Source organism: Homo sapiens, chromosome X (assembly GCF_000001405.40).
Source record: "Homo sapiens chromosome X, GRCh38.p14 Primary Assembly".
Lineage (NCBI taxonomy): Eukaryota > Metazoa > Chordata > Mammalia > Primates > Hominidae > Homo > Homo sapiens.
The window spans coordinates 23,426,037-23,447,665 of record NC_000023.11 but is presented as its reverse complement, the minus strand read 5'-3'; positions in this window follow the sequence as shown (position 1 = coordinate 23,447,665).

Below are 21,629 nucleotides of genomic sequence, written 5' to 3'. Positions count from 1 at the left end.
CTGTGCTTATTTTCATCTTTATGTATTTCCAGGAATTATTTTCTGAATACACTAGTTGATGCACTAAATTTATTATAGGTACTTATAAATTATCATAATATCACTTGATCTTTGACACTTGCTTTGATCAAATCTTGCTTTAAGATATCTCATATTTGAGAATGGGAAGCCTTCTTTGGACAGGTAAGTAAAGGAAAATTGTAAGTTTTTTTTCTTTTTTTTAAAGATAGAATGTCTGATTTTAAGCTACTTTAACACTGCAGTTGATTCCAGTATCAATATAATTTCTTTTTCATTACTTTGTATTAGGGGTCTGGTATATTCTTAGAATAGTTTGAAAAGCAATGGAGTAGACTACGTAAGTGTTCTTTCTACTGAGCAATACCTGGTACAAATGGATTATATAGGACCATTTACCTCTGTGGAATGCAGTGTGTAATGAGTAAATCTACTAAATTTATTCCTGTCTTCCCATAACTCAAAGGATGTGAGCTTAAAACAAGAAAAAAAAAGCTGCATCTGAAACTAAATTCACTGAGGCTGAACATTTACCTACAAGATATATATAGCTAAACACATGAAGCTGTCTGAAAATGAGAGGAGGGTGGCTCACAAGGTTGGCTTCTTCCTCATGCCATTAACAAAAATAAGTTCCAGATGGATTTAAAATTTAGATGTGAAAAATGACACCATGTGATTACTGTAGGAAAAATAGAAAAATCAGTTTGAATATTGGGAGGGTATGAGAGATTTCCTTGGTTTGGCCCTAAAGTCCTACTCCATTAAAAAAAAAAATGGATCAATTTGATCACATAGAAATAATAAAATTGGCACATCAACAGTAAAAACATGATTAAAAAGCGTATAACAAAGATGCCACAATGTTAGGATCATATTCTTATGCAAATATACTTTTACAAATTAATAGAACAGACATAAATATAAATTTTAAAATGGGCAAAGGGCTCAAGTTGGTAATTTCCAAAAGGAGAAGTTCATATAAATGTCGGTAAACAAGAGAAAAATGCTGCTTAACTTCACAAAAATTAGAGAAGTACAAATTAAAATGACAATAAGGTGGTACATTTTTTTCTAGCTACCATACTGTCAAAGATTCAAAAGATTGCTAATGCCCAAGAATGGATGAAGATGTGAGGTAACAGGCAATTTCCTACAGTGTGGAGGTAGTCTAAATTGACTAACTTTCCTAGAAGGCAAGCTTGTATTAAAATATACTCACCATTTTTTTGTCCCAAGAATTCACTTAGTGAAAGGAGATAATCACATTAGTATCCAAAGGGTGTTTTGTTTCAGTGTTGTTTATAAGAGCAAAACTGTCATGAACCCAAATATCCATCCATACAATGGAAAAAGAGGTGTTTATTTTAAAGGACAGGCTATATTTATAGGCATTGACATAGAAATAATACCACAAGCTAGTAAGTGATTTTTAAAAGGCTACAGAATAGTATGTATGGGGTAATAACATTTTAGCTTACATGTATATCAAAGTTTTCCAGACTAACACAAGGTAAATAGCAGAACGGTTTCTCTTAGGGGTGTATAGGACTTTGTTTTATTTTTTGTTTCATTTTTGTGTTGTGTAATTTTTTTTACAGTGAACTGTATTACTTTGAACCGTGAAAAGACACCGAAGGCTTGCATTTTAAATAAAATTGAAAATTAAGGATAAACTGTTTTCTGTGAAGTACCAGAAATTTACCCAGTCATTTGAGGATCCCTCGGCTCAAGGCTTTATAAAGGACATTTATATCTTTGTTCAGATCAGATTAGGGTGGTGTACACACACCTCGACTGTGGCTTCTTTTTTAGCAGTGAGGGAAGTAATTCAATTCTTCCTTCCCCACTGCCTCCCGACTTTTCCATTTCTTTGTCTGTACCTTGTTAGACGGTAACATTATGGCAAGAACAGATACGTGAGACATTCTTCTCAAGGACTTCTGAACAATACCTTGTTTTGTGCATATAGGGGACCAAAATAAATATATAACCCACGTCAACTTCAATAAAGGCAGCTGGAATGATAGCGAATATTACCTGAAGTATTGGCGGGCAGAGCTCTCAAAGGTAAGCTTCTGCTGCAGGGAAGACTTGTTAATAGCTGCCATTAGAGAAAGGAGGTCACCAAAGGTTGGCCTTGCTGAGTTTCTCTCTATCTCTTCCCTTCTCTGCTCAATAGATAATCCCAATACAGCCTTTTTTTGTGGAGGGGTAGGGTCTATGCAGTGGTTCTCAATCAGGGATGAATATCAGATATGTGGGAAGATTTTTGAAACTAGTGGTTCCTGCCGAGGTACCTTTAAGAGATCAGGCTGTGTCACAGGAATATATTTCATTTTTAAACACTCCTTAGATGATTCTCGTGGTCAGTGAGTGTTGGCAAACCATAGCTCATTGCATAAGTCTGCAAAGGTTTGAAGACCTGGAGGCTCTGTAGGTCTCTAGATGTGTCTTTCAGAATTCATTGTCTTTATACATCGTCTTTTAAAATTATTTTGTTGGTTTTCTCTCCAATAAGCAGTGAGCTCTCTCTTCTCTGAGTGCTTAAAATAATTCTTGTGAGCACTGCCTTACTCAAATGGTACTTCTTGTATGAAGTGTTCCCGGATTCTGCATTATGTCACTAATTCATGTATTTAACAAATACTTATTTCACAGCTACCACATTTCAGGCTGTATTATAGGACTCAGTGCTATTGTCTGTTCCTGATTATGCGTTGTATCCATCCTTGTAGGTAAATGTGTTCATCACAAACCATTATAATAAGGAATTTACATGTCTGTCTGCCCATTCCACTATTGTGGAGATCAGAGATTGTCTCTTATTCATATTTGTATTTTCAGTGCTTGAAAGCTTCCCTGGCATTTAATTAGTATTCAATGAATATTGCCTATGTCATTATTCATTTCTTATAATTATTACGGATACATAGTGGGTGTACATACTTATGGGGTACATGATATATTTTGATACAGGCATAAAATGCATAATAATCACATCTGGTAAATGGGGTATTCATCAACTCAAGTATTTATCCTTTCTTTGTGTTACAAACGATCCAGGTTTTTTAAGTTATTTTAAAATGGACAATAAATCATTATTGACTGTACTCACCCTGCTGTGCTATCAAATACTAGATTTCAGTCTATTTAACTATATTTTGGTACCCATTAACCATCCCCCTTGCACCACTCTTCTCAGCCTCTGGTAACAATCATTCTATTCTCTGTCTTAACGAGTTCAATTGTTTTAATTTTTAACTCCCATAAATGTGTCAGAACAGGTGAAATTTGCCTTTCTGTGCCTGGTTTATCTCACCTAACATAGTGACCTCCAGTTCCATTCATGTTGTTGCAAATCACAGGATCTCATTCTTTTTTATGGCTCAGTAGTACCCCATTGTGTATATGTACCAAATTTTCCTTATCCATTTATCTGTTGATGGATACTCAGGTTGCTTCCAAATCTTGGCCATTGTGAACAGTGCTGCAGTAAAACATGGGCATCAAGATATCTCTTCAATATACTGATTTCCTTTCTTTTGGAAGGAATATACCTAGCAGTGGGATTGTTGGATCATATGGTAGCTCTATTTTTAGTTTTTTGAGGAACCTCCAAACTATTCTCCATAGTGGCCATACTAATTTACGTTCCCACCAATAGTGTATGAAGGTTTCCTTTTCTCCATATCCTCACCAGAATAGCCAAAGCTATTCTGGTTCTTTTATGGTTCCATATAAATTTTAGGATTGCTTTTTCTATTTCTGGGAAGAATGTCATTGTTATTTTAATAGGGATTGCATAGAATCTGTAGATTGTCTTAGGTAGTATAAACGTTTTAACAATACTGATTCTTCCAATCCATGAACTTGGAATATCTTTCCATTTTTTGGTGTTCTCTTCCATTTATTTGATCAGTCTTATATACTCTTCATTGTAGACGTCTTTCATTTGTCTGCTTAAGTAAATTTTTAGATATTATATTTTATTTATAGCTATTTTAAATGGGATTACTTTTTAATTTCTGTTTCAGATTGTTTGCTATTGGAATATAGAAACGCTACTGATTTTTTCATGTTGATTTTGTATCCTGCAACTTTACTGAATTTGATTTTCAGTTCTGGTAGTTTTTAGTGGAATCTTTAGGTTTTTCCAAGTATATCATATCATTTTCAAACAAGGATAATTTGACTTCTTCCTTTCTTGTTTGAATGCCCTTTATTTATTTATCTTGTATGATTGCTCTAGCTAGGACTTCCAGTACTATGTTGAATAAGAGTAGTGAAAGTGGACATCCTCATCATGTTCTAGATCTAAGGAAAGGCTTTCAGTATTTCCCCATTCAGTATGACACTAGCTGTGAGTCTGTCATATATGGTTTTTATTGTGTTGGGGAATATTCCTTGTAAATCTAGTATTTTTGAAGGTTTTTATCATGAAAGGATGTTGAATTTCATCAAATGTTTTTTCAGCATCATTTGAAATGATCATATGGTTTTTGTCTTTTAATCTGTTTATATGATGTGTCTCACTGATTTGTTGTATGTTGAACCATCCTTGCATCCCTGAGATAAATCTCACTTGGTCATGATGAATGATTTTTTTTAATGTGTTGTTGAATTCGATTTGCTAGTATTTTGTTGAGGATTCTTGTATCAATGTTCATCAGGGATATTGGCCTGTAGTTTTCTTCTTTGGATGTGTCTTTGTCTGGTTTTGGTATCAGGGTCATATTGGCCTCGTAGGATGAGTTTGGAAGTATTCCCCAGTCCTCTATGTTTCAGAATAGTTTGAATAGGATTGGTATTAGTTCCTATTTAAATAATCAGCAAAATTCTGCAGTGAAGCCATTGGGTTCTTGTCTTTTTTTTGCTGGGAGACTTTTTATTATGGCTTCTATACTTGGTCTTAGCCAAAAGGCTGAGAAGCGATACTTTCAATTATGGCTTCTATCTCATTACTTGTTATTCATCTGTTCAGGTTTTGGATTTTTTCATGGTTCAATCTTGATAGGTTGTATGTGTTTAGGAATTTATCCATTACTGCTAGCTTTCCCAATTTATTGGCATATAGTTGCTCAAAGTAGCCACTAATGATCCTTTGAATTTCTGTGATATCAATTTTAATGTTTCCTTTTTCATCTCTGATTTTATTTAGAAATTCTGTCTTTTTTTCTTAGTTCATCTTGCTAAAGGTTTGTCAAATTGTTTTAACATTTTAAAAAACCAACTTCTAAAAAAATGTTTTGTTTTGTTTTTTTTTAGTTTTTATTTCCATAGGTTTTTGGGGAACAAGGGGTATTTGGTTACATGAGTAAGTTTTAGTGGTGATTTATGAGATTTTGGTTCACCCATCTCCTGAGTAGTATATACTTAACCCAATTTGTGGTGTTTTATCCCTGTCCGCCTTCCTACCCTTTCCACCCAAGTCCCCGAAGTCCACTGTAGCATTCTTATGCCTTGGCATCCTCATAGCTTAGCCCTACTTATGAGCGAGAACATACAATATTTGGTTTTCCATTCCTGAGTTACTTCACTTATAATAATAGTCTCCAATCCCATCCTGGTTGCTGTGAATGCCATTAATTCATTCCTTTTTAAGGGTGAGTAGTATTCCATCATATATATTATACCACAGTTTCTTTATCCACTCATTGATTGATGGGCATTTGGGTTGGTTCCACATTTTTGCAATTGCGAATTGTCCTGCTATAAACATGCATGTGCAAATATCTTTTTCATGTAATGACTTCTTTTCCTTTGGGTAGATACCCAGTAATGGGATTGCTGGATCAAATGGTAGTTCTACTTTTTTTTCCTTAAGGAATCTCCACACTGAAAAAAACAACTTTTTGTTTCATTGATTTTTTTTTATCATTTTTTCATTTTAATTTTATTTCAGCTCGGATCTTTATTATTTATTTTCTTCTACTAATGTTGAGTTTGGTTTGCTCTTCCTTTTCTAGTTCTTTAAGATGCATGGTTAGCTTGTTCATGGTGAGTTTTTCCTCTTTTTGATGTAGTCACTTATAGCTATAAACTTCCCTATTAGTACTGCTTTTTCTGTATCCCATAGGTTTTGGTATGTTGTGATTCCATTATCATTTGTTTCCAAAATTTTTTTCAATTTTCTCTTTAATTTCTTCATTGACCCACTGGTCATTCAGGAGTTTATTGTTTAATTTCCACGCTTTGGTATAGTTTCTAAAATTACTCTTGTTAGTGATTTCTACTTTTATTCCATTGTGGCAGAGAAGATAGTTGATATGATCTCAGTTTTTAAAAATGATTTAAGACTTGTTTTTTGGCCTAACCTGTGGTCTATTTTTGAGAATAATCCATGTGCTGAGGAGAAGAATGTACATTCTGCAGCCATTGGATAAAATGTTCTGTAAATATCTATTTGGTCCATTTGGTCTACAGTTAAGTTTAAGTACGATGTTTCTTTCTAGATTTTCTGTCTGGATGATCTGTGTAATGCTGAAAGTGGGGTGTGGAAATCTGTGGCTATTATTGTATTGGGGTCTATCTCTTTCTTGAGCTCTAATAAGATTTGCTTTATGTGTCTGGGTTCTCCAGTATTGGATGCTTATATATTTGCAATTTTTACATCATCTTGCTGAATTGACCCCTTTATCATTATATAATGACATTTTTTATCTCTTTTTATAGTTTTTGTCTTGAAATCTATTTTTTTGCTCTTTTTTTTGGTTTTCATTTGCATGGAAAGTCTTTTCTCAACTCTTTATTTTCAGTTGATGTGTTTCTTTATAAGTTAAGTGTGCTTCTGATCGGCAACCAGTCACTGGGTCTTGTGTTTTTTTTTTTGTTTTTTTTTTTTAACCCATTCAACCACTGTATGTCTTTTGATTGGATAGTTAATTCAGTGAATTTATTGTTAAGTAAGGACTTACTCCTGCCATTTTGCTATTTGCCTTCTGGTTATTGTTTGGTTTTCTCTTCCTTCTTTTCTTCTTTCCTATCTTCCTTTTAGTGAAGGTGATTTTCTCTGGCGGTGTGTTTTAAAGTCTTGCTTTTTTTGTGTGTGTATCGGTTGCATTTTTTTTTGATTTGAGGTTATCATGAAACTTGCAAATAATATGTTATAACCCATTATTTTAAAGTGATGACAACTTAACACTGATTGCATTAAAAAATAATCTAACAAACAAACAAGCAAAAACAATGTTAAAAACTCTATACTTTAACTTCATCTCTCTGCTTTTAAATTTTTTTGCTTCTATTTATATCTCATTGTGCTATGTCTTGAAAAGTTCTTGTATTATTTTTGATCGGTTCATCTTTTATTCTTTCTACTTAAGTTATAAGTAGTTTACACACCACAATTACAGTGTTATACTATCCTGTGTTTTCTGGGTACTTGAAATTACCAGTGAATTTTGCACCTTCAGCTGATTTCTTATTGCTCATTATTGTCCTTTTCTTTGAGATTGAAGAACTTTCTTTAGCACTTCTTGTAGGATAGGTCTGTTGTTGATGCCATCCCTCAGCTTTTGTTTGGGAAAGTCTTTATTTCTCCTTCATGTTTGAAGGATATTTTTGCTGGATATACTATTCTAGGGTAAAAAAATTTTTCCCTCAGTACTTTGTCTGCTGTCAGACGCATTGGAGCTCCATTGTATGTTATTTGTTTCTTTTCTTTTGCTTCTGTTTGGATTCTTTCTTTATTCTTGACCTTTGGTAATTTGATTATTAAATACCTTCATGCAGTCCTCTTTGGGTTAAATCTGCTTTGTGTTCTATAACCTTCTTATATTTGAATACTGATATTTTTCTGTAGGTTTCAGAATTTCTCTGTTATTATCCCTTTGAATAAACCTTCTGTCCCTATCTCTCTCTGCACCTCTTGTTTAAGGCCAATAACTCTTAGATTTTCCCTTTCAAGACTATTTTCTTGATCTGGTAGGTATGTTTCATTCCTTTTTATTCTTTTTTCTTTTTTGCATCTGATTATGTATTTTCAAATAGCCTGTCTTCAAGCTCACTAATTCTTTCTTGTGCTTGATTAATTCTGCTGGTGAAAGACTCTGATGCATTCTTCAGTATGTCAAATGCACATTCAGATTGCATTTAAGTAGATTTTCTGCTTAATTCTTTTTTAATATTATTTCAATGCGTTTAAAAATTTATCTGATATGATTCTCAATTCCTTCTTTGTGTTTGTTAACTTGTATTTAATTGAGCTTCCTCAAAACAGCTATTTGAATACGCTGTCTGAAGAGTCACATGTTTCTGTCTTTCCAGAATTGGTCCCTGGTACTTTATTTAGTTCATTTGGCAAAGTCATGCTTTCCTGGATGGTTTTGATGCTTGTAGAAGTTCATTGGTATCTGGGTATTGAAGAATTACATTATTTATTGTAGTGCTTGTTGTTTGGGCTCGTTTGTATCCATCCTTCTTGGCTTTCCAGGTATTTGAAAGGACTTTGTTGTTTGTATCAGGCCATTCTTGCATTGCTCTAAAGAAATACCTGAGACTGGATAATTTGTAAATAAAAGAAGTTTAATTGGCTTATTGTTCTTTAGGCTTTACAAGAATCTTCTTGGCTTCTGGTGAAGCCCCAAGGAGGTCACAATCATGGTGGAAGGTGAAGGAGGAATAGATACATCACATGGCCAAATCAAGAGCAAGTGAGAGAGAGTTGGGGGGAGGTGCTACACACCTTTTGTTTTTTGAGACGGAGTCTTGCTCTGTTGCCCAGGCTGGAGTGCAGTGGCGTGATCTTGGCTCACTGCAAGCTCTGCCTCCTGGGTTCATGCCATTCTCCTGCCTCAGCCTCCCCAGTAGCTGGGATTACAGGCATGTGCCACCACGCGTGGCTAATTTTTTTTTTTTTTTTGTATTTTTAGTAGAGACAGGGTTTCACCGTGTTAGCCAGGATGGTCTCAATCTTCTGACCTCGTGATCCGCCTGCCTTGGCTTCTCAAAGTGCTGGGATTACAGGCATGAGCCACCGCACTTGGCCACTACACACTTTTAAATGATCAGATCTCATGTGAACTCGGATCGAGAGCTTACTTATCACCAAGGAGATGGCCCAAGCCATTCATGAGGGTGTCAGGCCTCTGAGCCCAAGCTAAGCCATCATATCCCCTGTGACCTGCAAGTAGACATCCAAATGGCCTGAAGCAACTGAAGCTCCAGAAAAGAAGTGAAAATAGCCTTAACTGATGACAATCCACCATTGTGATTTGTTTCTGCCCCACCCTAACTGATCAATGTACTTTGTAATCTCTCCCACCCTTAAGAAGGTTCTTTGTAATTCTCCCCACCCTTGAGAATGTACTTTGTGAGATCCACCCCCTGCCCCCAAAACTTTGCTCCTAACTCCACCGCCTATCCCAAAACCTATAAGAACTAATGATAATCCACCACCCTTTGCTGACTCCTTTTTTGGACTCAGCCTGCCTGCACCCAGGTGAAATAAACAGCTTTGTTGCTCACATAAAGCCTGTTTGGTCTCTTCACACAGACACGTGAGACAGAGGGATCTGGCCCCATGACCCAAACACCTCCCACCAAGCCCCCACCTTCAACATTGGAGATTACATTTCAACATGAGATTTGGGCAGAGAGAAACATCCAAACTATATCATTCTGCCCCTGCCCCTGCCAAATCTCATATCCTCACATTGCAAAATACAATCACGCCTTCCCAATAGTCCCCCAAAGTCTTAAGTCATTCCAGCATGAACTCAAAAGTCCCAAGTCCAAAGTCTCATCTGAGATAAGGCAAGCCCCTTTCACCTGTAAAATCAAAAGAAGTTATTTATTTCCAAGATACAATGAGGGGGCATAGGCATTGGGTAAACATTCCCATTCCAAAAGGGAGAAAGAGGCCAAAAGAAAGGGGCTACAGGCTCTATGAAAGTTTGAAACCCAACAGGGTAGTCATTAACTCTTAAAGCTCCAAAATAATCTTCTTTGACTCCATGTCCAACATCCAGGGCACACTGGTGCAAGGAGTAGGTTCCCAAGGCCTTGGACAGCTCCACTCCTGTGGCTTTGCTAGATACAGCCCCCATGGCTGCTCTCACACATTGAGTGACTGTGGCTTTTCCCAGTGCAGGGTGCAAGCTCCCAGTGGATCTACCATTCTGGGATCTGAAGGATGGTGGCCCCCTTCTTACAGCACCACTAGGCAATGCCCCAGTAGGGACTCTGTATGGGGGCTCCAATCTCATATTTCTCCTTGGCATTTCCCTAGTAGAGGTTCTCTGAAGAGGCTCTGCGCTTGTAGCAGTCCTCTGTCTGGGCACCCAGGCTTTTCCATTTATCCTCTGAAATCTAGGTGGAGGGTGCCAAGTGTTCTTCATTCTTGCATTCTGCATGCCTACAGGCTAAACACCATGTGGAAATCAGCAAGGCTTATGGCTTACATTCTCCAAAGTGGCAGCCTGAGCTGTACCTGGTCCCCTTTGAGCCAAGGCTGGAGTTAGAATGGCGGGATGCAAGTAGCAGACTCCCAAGGCTGAACAAAGGTAGCAGGGCCTTGGGCCTGCCCCAAGAAGCCATTCTTCCTTTCCAGGCCCCTGGGGCTGTGGGGGGGGAGGTTGCCACAAAGTCTTGGAAATGCCTTCCTGGCCTTTTCCCCATTGTTTTAGATAAGAGTACTTAACTCCTTTTTAGCTATGCAAAATTTTCTAGCAAGTGGTTGCTCTGAAGCCTGCTTGAATTTCTCTCCCCAGAAAGCTTCTTCTTTGTTTGCCACACAGCTAGGCACCCAAATTTTCAAACTTTTATTCTCTGCTTCCCTTTTAAATATAAATTCCAATTTTAAGTCCTTTCTTTGTCTGAGCGTAGGCTATTAGGAGCAGCCACCCTACTTTATGAACACTGTTGCTTGGAAATTTCTTCTGCCACATACCCTAGGTCACCACTCTCAAGCTCAAACATCCACATATCCCAAGGGCATGAACAGAATGCACACAAATTCTTTTCTAAGGCATAAGGTGTGACTTGTTCCAGTTCCCAATTAGTTCTTCTATCTGACACCTTGTTTGCCTGGATTTCACAGTCCATATCACTATCAGCATTTTGGTCAGAACCATTTAACCCAGCTTTAGGAAGTTGCAAACTTTCCCTCATCTTCCTGTCTTTTTCTGAGCCCTCCAAAGTTTCCAGCCTCTGCCTATTACCCAGTTCCAAAGTTGCTTCCACATTTTAGGTATCTTTATAGCAATGGCCAACTGCTTGGTAGCAATTCCTTGTATTAGTCATTGCATTGCTATAAAGAAATACCTGAGTCTGAGTAATGTACAAACAGGTTCATTTTTATTTATTTATTTATTTAGAGACAGGTTCTTATTATGTTGCCCAGGCTGGTCTCGAATTCCTGGGCTCAAGTGATCCTCCCACCTTGGCCTTCCAAAGTGCTGGGATTAAAGGCATGAGCCACTATGCCTGGCCAGCAAAAAGGTTTAATTGGCTCATGGTTCAGCAGGCTTTACAGGAAACATGGTGCTGGCATCTGCTCAGCTTCTTGTGAAGACTTAGGGAGCTTTCAATCATGGTAGAAGGTGAAGGAGGAATAGGTACATCAAATGGTTAAAGCAGGAGCAAGGGAGAGAGAGTTGGGGGGAGGTGCCACACACTTTTTAACAATCAGATCTCATGTGAAGTCAGAGTGAGAGCTCACTTATCACCAAGGAGATGGCCCAAGCCATTCATGAGGGATCTGGCCCCATGATCCAAACACCTCCCATCAAGCCTCAACTCCAACACTGGGGATTACATTTCAACATGAGATTTAGGCAGGGAGAAATATCCAAACTATATCAGTGTTGTAATCTAAGTTTTTGGTCTCTACACCTGTATCTGCATTAGGGGGCACCCCAAGCCCAGTAATGCTATGGCTTGTATAGACTTGGAGAGGTACTGCCTTGATCGGCTTGGATAAGATCTAGAAGAAATCTCTGGATTACCAGGCAGAGTTATTCCTAAACAGTCTCTTTCTCTGTGCTGAGCTGCCTGGAGTTGGGACAGTGGTGATAGACGCACTCCTGTGGTCACCACCACTGGGACTGTACTGAGGCCATATCTGAAGCTAGCTCGGTACTGGATCTTGTCTAAGATCTACTGTAACCACTGCCTGGCTACTGCCTATGTTTCCTCAACATCCTAAGGTTCTACAGTCAGCAAGTGGCAAAGCCAGCCAGGCTCGTGTCCTTCCATTCAGTGTTGCAAGTTCTCCCTAGCCCCAGACAGGCCCACAGATGCCATCTGGGAGCCAGGGCCTGGAATCAGAAACCTCAGGAATCTATCTATGGCTCTGTTCTTCTGTATCTGAGCTGGCACTTAAGCCACAAGACAAAGTCCTTCTCACTCTTCTCTCCTCTTTGCACAAGTAGAATCATCTCTTCCTATGGTTACCACTGCCCCAGGGCCACTGCAAGTACTGTGTAGCTACTGCTAATGTTTACTCAAGGCCCAAGTGCTTTTTAGTCAGCTTTTGGTGAATGCTGTCAGGCCTGGGACTCTCCCTTCAGGACAGTGGGTTCCCCTCTGGCCCAGGGCAAATGCAGAAATGTTGTCTAAGAGTCAAGGCCTGGAATCAGGGACCCCCAGAGTCCACTTGGTACTCTACCCCACGGCAACTGAGCTGGTACCCAACCTGCAAAGCAAAGGCCCCTTTACTTTTCCCTTTCATTTTCTCAAGCAGAAGAAGTTTCTTTGCTTAGCCACCACAGCTATGAAAGTGCTGGGTTATCCCTGAAGCCAGCATGTCTGAGTCTTATCCCAGGCCCATGGTGAATACTACAATGGCTCTTTAGTCAGCAGGCGATTAATCCTGCCAGGACTGCGTCCCTTCCTTCAAGGCAGTGGTTTTCCTTCTGGCCATGGGTGTGTGTAGAAATATCATCCCGGAGCTAGGGCTTAGAATGGGTGTATTGGAACTCTTCCCAATATCTTATCTTACTGTGGCTGAGCTGGTGTCCAAGGTTCAAGACAAAGTCCTCTTTATTCTTCCTTCTCCTCTCTTTGAGAAGGAGAAGGAAAGAGTTTTTCCCAGAGCTGTGAGCTGTGCTGCCTGGGGTTGAGGGAAGGGTGACACAAGCACTCCCTTGGCTGCCCTGGCTGATGTCTCAAGTCCACTGGCTGCAAGCCCAGCACTGCAGCAGGACTTGGCCAAGACTTGCAGTCCTTTGTGGCTTGGATTGCTTCTCAACTTTATTTAGTACCCCAGAGCATTTTAGTTGGAGCACTGAACTGCTGCTTGCCAGAACTCAGGTTTTGACCACTGGGATGGATATTTCTCCTCTGGCTAGGCCTCGCATAAATGCTCCCTCTGTGGATGCTGGCTGAATTCTGCCCTGCGTTGCTTTCCATGGTGACAGAGCAGCCCTGAGTTTCAATGCAAAGTCCCACAGTCATGTGCTCTCCCTCCTGCAAGTGCACAGATTCTCTCTTAATACCACAATGCCACTGCTAGGGGATGGGGGAGTGGTGGCATCGAGTGGTGGCAATTCAAGACTGCCTTTCCTACCCTCTTCAGTGCCTGTTTCTGTTTTATGAAATTAAAGCCAGGTACCTTGATTGCTTACCTGATTTTTGGTTCTTATGAAGGTGCTTTTTTTCTTACAAAGGTGTGGATAGTTGTTCTATTTGGTGTTCCTGTAGGGAGGATGATCATTGAAGGCTTCTGTTCAACCATCTTGCTCCTCCTTGAGTCCCAAATCTTATTAGTCTTGAGGTGTGGGTAGATGGTGTATTCTAGGACTAACAGGTCAGTGATGACCATTTAGCATGGCTAGTGTATAGCAGGCATGGAAGGAGGTGGTGTAAGTTGAGGTTGAATAGGCAGGCCAGACAGACTATAAAGTTTTGATTTTATAGGCAATGGTACATCACTCAAAGGTTTTTGCACAGAAGAGGTGTGATGGGCATGTAACTGGGAGGGAGCTAGGAGAAGACCCAGGAGTGAGTCAGCCATGGTGGGTCAATTCGAGTTTATTGCAGTAATATGGATGAGGCATCATACAGACCTAAACAAAGGCTAGGGTGGAGGGATAAGAAAGAGAGTGTATCACAATTCATGAGGCATTTCCAGTGGTTCACTGGAGCTAGCTTGTACTAGCTTGTGAGAGCTGATTCTTTACTTGTCTTCCAAATTTCATGATCAGTGTTTTCATATTAGTAGCTTAAAATTGTCTATTGTGTGAACATTTACGCTATGGAAATTGGCAAACATTGCAAATAAAGACTTTAGTTCCTTTTTCTGGAAAGCCATTTTACTAGCATACCACTATATTTAACCTCTGTTTATAGGTCATTCCACTTCGAAAGCCTTACCTTATTGCTAAACCTGGATAACGTTCATCTTTTGTGTGCCCTCATAGCATTCTACTCCTTCCACATTGTAATACTCAACACTCTATATTTTGTTTTATAAAAAATACTTTAAATTTTTATTTTAGATTCAAGGGGTACATGTGCAGGTTTGTTACATGGGTATGTTGTCTGATGTTGAGGTTTGGCACAGCAGCCTATTGCTGCCACCACTGGTGCCTGAAGACTGGCCTACCTGGCATCCTACTACCCAGCAAAACTTCACTATAGCCTCCACTAATAAGAGCACACTAAGCCCCTGAGGAAACATAATACCTGATAGGTAGTTTTTCAACCCTTATCCCCTCCCTCCCTCCCCCAGTCTGGAATTTTCAGTGCTTATGATTCCCATCTTTGTGTCCATGTGTACCCAATGCTTAGCTCCCACTCACTTATAATGAGAACATGCAGTATTTGGTTTTCTTTTCCTACATTAATTTACTTTGAGTAATGGCCTCCAGTTGCATCCATGTTGCTGCAAAAGACGTGATTTTATTCTTTTTTTATGGTTGTATAGTATATCATGTTGTGTATGTACCACATTTTCTTTATCCAGTTCACCATTGATGGGCACCTGGGTTGCTTCCATGTCTTTGCTATTGTGAATACTATTGTAATAAACATATGAGTGCAGGTGTCTTTTTGGTAGAATGATTTATTTTTCTCTGGGTATATACCAAGTAGTAGGACTGCTGTGTCAAATGGTAATTCCTTTTTTTTGTTGTTGTTGTTCTTTAAGAAATCTCCAAACTACTTTCCACAGGGGCTGAACTAATTTGCATTCCCACCAACAGTGTATAAGTGCTCCCTTTTCTCCTAAACCTTGCCAACATCTGTTGTTTTTTTACTTTTCTTCTTTTTGTTTTTTCTGAGACGGAGTCTTATTCTGTCACCCAGACTGGAGTGCAGTGGTGCGATCTCGGCTCACTGCAACCTTCGCCTCCTGGGTTCAAGCGATTCTCCTGCCTCAGCCTCCTGAGTAGCTGGGACAACAGGTGGATGCCTTTACACCTGGCTAATTTTGGTATTTTTAATAGGGACCGGATTTCACCATGTTGGCCAGGCTGGTCTCGAACTCCTGACCTCAAATGATCTGCCCGCCTCGGCCTCCCAAAGTGCTGGGATTACAGGCGTGAGCCCCATGCCCAGCCTTTTTTACTTTTTAATAACAGCCATTGTGACTGGTGTGAGATGGTATTTCATTGTGGTTTTGATTTCCATTTCTCTGACGATTAGTGATTTTGAATGTCTAAGTCAATGTGTAGAAGAGTTTTTCCTAGGTTTTCTTCTAGGATTTTTATAGTTTGAGCACTCTGTTTTGATAACCTGTTTGCTTATTTGCATGTTATGCTGAATTGTAAGCTTTGTGATGGCAACAACACGTCTACCATGTTAACGATATCGCTGTGCTTATTACATAAATAATTGTTCAAAAATATTTAGTGATTGTCTGAATGGATAATGTTTTATCCCAATAGTTCGTGTGGCCGATATTCATCTACGGCAATTCCAGAAATAGTGTATTTATGTGATCCATACTTTTTCTTCTTTAGGATCATTTGCATATTGAAATTACATTGCAATTATCAGAAAAGCCACACATACCCTCAGCTCTTGAAGGAGAACAGGAAGAATAGAATATTTCTCTGATTATAACATAAAGGAAATGTTTTAAGAGATAAATTATTTAATTTTTCTTCTATGTAGATATGAAGAATGTAGTTTTCTTTACATATTAAGTATAGCATGAGAAAGAAGAAATTTTTGAATATCTCAGCCTGTGTTTTAGAAAAGTACCTCTTCATTCCTTTGAATTGAATAAAACATAAAAGTTATTAGGAAAAACTGAGACTTTCTCTAACTTTTTCATGTTGTTGACATTACACCTGTCAACATAGATTACTTCCTGTTAGATTTCCTGTTATACTTCCATGCATATATAAAAATATATATAAAGTATAGCCATTAAAATAATGTTTGTGAGAAATTTATAACATAGTTGTGCTCGTTATCTACTGCTATATAACAAATGACCCCAAAGTGTAGTAGCCTAAAACAATGCACATTTATTACTGAACCCAATTTCTGTGGGCTAGAAACCTGAGAGCAACTTAGCTGGGTGGTTCAGGCTCAGGGTCTCTCTTGAAGTTGAAGTAAAGATGTTGGCCTATGTTATAGTCATCTAAAAGCCTGAATGGGGTTGAAGTACATACTTCCAACATAGCTCACTTGCATGCCTAGCAAGTTAGTGCTGGTTGTTGTCAGGAGACTTCCACTTAGCTGCTTGAGTGTTCTCATGTCATGGCAGCTGATTTCCTCCAGAGCCATTGGTGTGAAAGAATAAGCCAAAAAGCCAATATGCTTTTTATGAACTAGTCTCGGAAGTCATATATTCTAGTATTGCCATATTCTATTCTTTGGAAGCAAGTCACTAAATATAGGAATAAGGGTGATTAGGTTCTACCCTTTGAATGGAAGAGTATAAAAGAATTTATGGACATATTTTAAAATCACCATGATGGTAAAATGCTATGTTGTAATGCTTAGTTAAAAAAAAAAAAAAAGTCAAACTCAAAATTATTTATGTAGATTTTTAGAGCCTAACCTCCAAAGGTCTCTGTGTTGTCATGGGGTTAGAGTTGAAACTGCTGCTGCTGCTGCTGCTGCTGCCTCGCCAAGAAGGGAGAGTGGAGACCAGGCATTTTACTGCACTTTGAGGACAAATCCCAGTGCTGCTGCAGGCTACTATGGGAATGAAGTGTGAGAAAACTGCACATCACACAGCTACCTCCCTACATTGAAACCACTGAAAGTGGCCTCATCCTACATGGTGGCAGGCCTGCAGCACAGCCACCACTGCCCACACCTGAGCATTTTGCCAGTGGCCTGGGGTCACCTCACCCTTGCCTATCAGAGACAGCACCTGAACACACTACCAGGCGGCCAGCTCTGCCAGCCCAGTTCGTGTCTTCCCATCCCCCTCCCCTGAGTTATTGAGCATACTGTGTAGGAGCCTGGAAATTGTTCAGCCCAGTCCACCATCATTGGTACCTAACACTCCTCCTGGAATCTGAGGTCAGGCTGACACAACCTACCAATACTACCACAGCTGGCACCCACCTACACACACCACCAGTGGCCATAACTAATATGTTATGGACACCCAACTTGTCATAGCCACCACCAGGACTAGCATGGACTGCTTGGGTTTCAGTAGGTTGCTCCACCATTGCTACTGCCATCACCCATATCATATTCGCTGCCCAAGGACCTGGGAACCTATCCACATGCCAGACTTACCACTGGCCACTACCAGATTGAAAAAAGCCATCTGAAAGCCCAAGAATTGAATCATCTAGGCCCCCTAACATTGGTACCAGTGTAAGTCATGTTGGAGGCCAAAGACAGGCACACTCGGCCTACTGCTGCCACCGCTGGTGCCCAAACACTGGCCCTCCTGGCATCCTACTCCCTAGTAAAACTTCACCATAGCCTCCACTAATAAGAACACACTAAGCCACTGAAGAAATCACAGATACCATTGACAATGTTTACAGCTGAATAAATCATACGGAAATCACACTACTGCATGCACCCAAAATAAAAGCCAAAATGCCCTACCTAACCAACAACATATATAGATCTTCAGAAAAAAGTCTTCCTCTATGAAAGCAATCTAAAAAAACAGGAAGAAGTGACTATTACAACAGATGCACAGATATAAATCTAAGTACACAGAAAACATGAAAAAGCAAGGACATATGACACTTCCCAAGGAAGACAATAATTCTCCAGCAACAGATCTCAATCAAAAAGAAATTCATAAAATCCCCAGATAAAGAATTTTAAGGGAGGTGGAGCCAAGATGGCCGAATAGGAACAGCTCCAGTCTACAGCTCCCCGCGTGAGCGATGCAGCAGACGGGTGATTTCTGCATTTCCAATGGAGGCACCGGGTTCATCTCACTGGGGAGTGCCTGACAGTGGGTGCAGGACAGTGGGTGCAGTGCACCGTGTGTTAGCCGAAGTAGGGCGAGGCATCGCCTCACCCGGGAAGCACAAGGGGTCAGGGAATTCCCTTTCCTAGTCAAATAAAGGGGTGACAGACGGCACCTGGTAAATCGGGTCACTCCCACCCTAATACTGCGCTCTTCCAACGGGCTAAACAAATGGCACATGAGGAGATGATATCCCACACCTGGCTTGGAGGTCCTACGCCAACGGAGCCTCGCTCATTGCTAGCACAGCAGTCTGAGATCAAACTGCTAGGCGGCAGCGAGGCTGGGGGATGGGTGCCTGCCATTGCTCAGGCTTGAGTAGGTAAACAAAGTGGCCAGGAAGCTCGAACTGGCTGGAGCCCACCACAGCTTAAGGAGGCCTGCCTGCCTCTGTAGACTCCACCTCTGGGGGCAGGGCACATACAAACAAAAGACAGCAATAACCTTAAATTAAGACAGACTTAAATGTCCCTGTCTGACAGCTTTGAAGAGAGTAGTGGTTCTCCCAGCATGCAGCTTGAGATCTGAGAACGGGCAGACTGCCTCCTCAAGTGGGTCCCTGACTCCCGAGTAGCCTAAATGGGAGGCATCCCCCAGTAGGGGCAGACTGACACCTCACACAGCCGGGTACCCCTCTGAGACAAAACTTCCAGAGGAATGATCAGGCAGCAGCATTTGTGGTTCACCAATATCCGCTGTTCTGCAGCCACTGCTGCTGATACCCAGGCAAACAGGGTCTGGAGTGGACCTCCAGTAAACTCCAACAGACCTGCAGGTGAGGGTCCTGACTGTTAGAAGGAAAACTAACAGAAAGGACATCCACACCAAAAACCCATCTGTACGTCACCAGCATCAAAGACCAAAGGCAGATAAAACCACAAACATTGGGAAAAAACGGAGCAGAAAAAACGGAAACTCTAAAAATCAGAGCACCTCTCATCCTCCAAAGCAACACATCTCCTCACCAGCAACAGAACAAAGCTGGATGGAGAATGACTTTGACGAGATGAGAGAGGAAGGCTTCAGAAGATCAAACTACTCCGAGCTAAAGGAGGAAGTTCGAACTAATGGCAAAGAAGTTAAAAACTTTGAAAAAAAATTAGACAAATGGCTAACTAGAATAACCAATGCAGAGAAGTCCTTAAAGGACCTGATGGAACTGAAAACCATGGCACAAGAACTACGTGATGAATGCACAAGCCTCATTAACCGATGTGATCAAATGGAAGAAAGGGTATCAGCGATGGAAGACGAAATGAATGAAATGAAGCATGAAGGGACGTTTAGAGAAAAAAGAATAAGAAGAAATGAACAAAGCCTCCAAGAAGTATGGGACTATGTGAAAAGACCAAATCAACGTCTAATTGGTGTACCTGAAAGTGTCGGGGAGAATGGAACCAAGTTGGAAAACACTCTGCAGGATATTATCCAGGAGAACTTCCCCAATCTAGCAAGGCAGGCCAACATTCAAATTCAGGATATACAGAGAATGCCACAAAGATACTCCTCGAGAAGAGCAGCTCTAAGACACATAATTGTCAGATTCACCAAAGTTGAAATGAAGGAAAAAATGTTATGGGCAGCCAGAGAGAAAGGTCAGGTTACCCACAAAGGGAAGCCCATCAGACTATCAGCGGATCTCTCGGCAGAAACTCTACAAGCCAGAAGAGAGTGGGGACCAATATTCAACATTCGTAAAGACAAGAATTTTCAACCCAGAATTTCATCTCCAGCCAAACTAAGCTTCATGAGTGAAGGAGAAATAAAATCCTTTACAGACAAGCAAATGCTGAGAGATTTTGTCACCACCAGGCCTGCCCTAAAAGAGCTCCTGAAGGAAGAACTAAACATGGAAAGGAAAAACCGGTACCAGCCACTGCAAAAACATACCAAATGGTAAAGACCATCAAAGCTAGGAAGAAATAGCATCAACTAATGAGCAAAATAACCAGCTAACATCATAATGACAGGATCAAATTCACACATAACAATACTAACCTTAAATGTAAATGGGTTAAATGCTCCAATTAAAAGGCACAGACTCTCATATTGGATAAAGAGTCAAGACACATCAGTGTGCTGTATTCAGGAAACCCATTTCACGTGCAGAGACACACATAGGCTCAAAATAAAGGGATGGAGGAAGATCTACCAAGCAAATGGAAAACAAATAAAGGCACGGGTTGCAATCCTCATCTTGGATAAAACAGAGTTTAAACCAGCAAAGATCAAAAGAGACAAAGAAGGCCATTACATAATGGTAAAGGGATCAATTCAACAAGAAGAACTAACTATCCTAAATATATATGCACCCAATACAGGAGCACGCAGATTCATAAAGCAAGTCCTTAGTGACCTACAAAGAGACTTAGACTCCAACACAATAATAATGGGAGACTTTTAACACCCCAGTGTCAACATTAGACAGATCAACAAGACAGAAAGTTAACAAGGATATCCAGGAATTGAACTCAGCTCTGCACCAAGCAGACCTAATAGACATCTACAGAACTCTCCACCCCAAATCAACAGTATATACATTCTTTTCAGCACCACACCATACCTATTCCAAAATTGACCACATCGTTAGAAGTAAAGCCCTCCTCAGCAAATGTAAAAGAATAGAAATTTTAACAAACTGTCTATGAGACCACAGTGCAATCAAACTAGAACTCAGGATTAAGAAACTCACTCAAAACCACTCAACTACATGGAAATGGGACAACCTGCTCCTGAATGACTACTGGGTACCTAACGAAATGAAGGCAGAAATAAAGATGTTCTTTGAAACCAATGAGAACAAAGACACAACATTCCAGAATCTCTGGTACACATTCAAAGCAGTGTTTAGAGGGAAATTTATAGCACTAAATACCCACAAGAGAAAGCAGGAAAGATCTAAAATTGACACCCTAACATCACAATTAAAAGAACTAGGGAAGCAAGAGCAAACACATTCAAAAGCTAGCAGAAGGCAAGAAATAACTAAGATCAGAGCACAACTGAAGGAAATAGAGACACAAAAACCCCTTCAAAAAATCAATGAATCCAGGAGCTGGTTTTTTGAAAAGATCAACAAAATTGATAGACCGCTAGCAAGACTAATAAAGAAGAAAAGAGAGAAGAATCAAATAGACGCAATAAAAAATGACAAAGGGGATATCACCACCGATCCCACAGAAATAGAAACTACCATCAGAGAATACTATAAACACCTCTACACAAATAAACTAGAAAATCTAGAAGAAATGGATAAATTCTT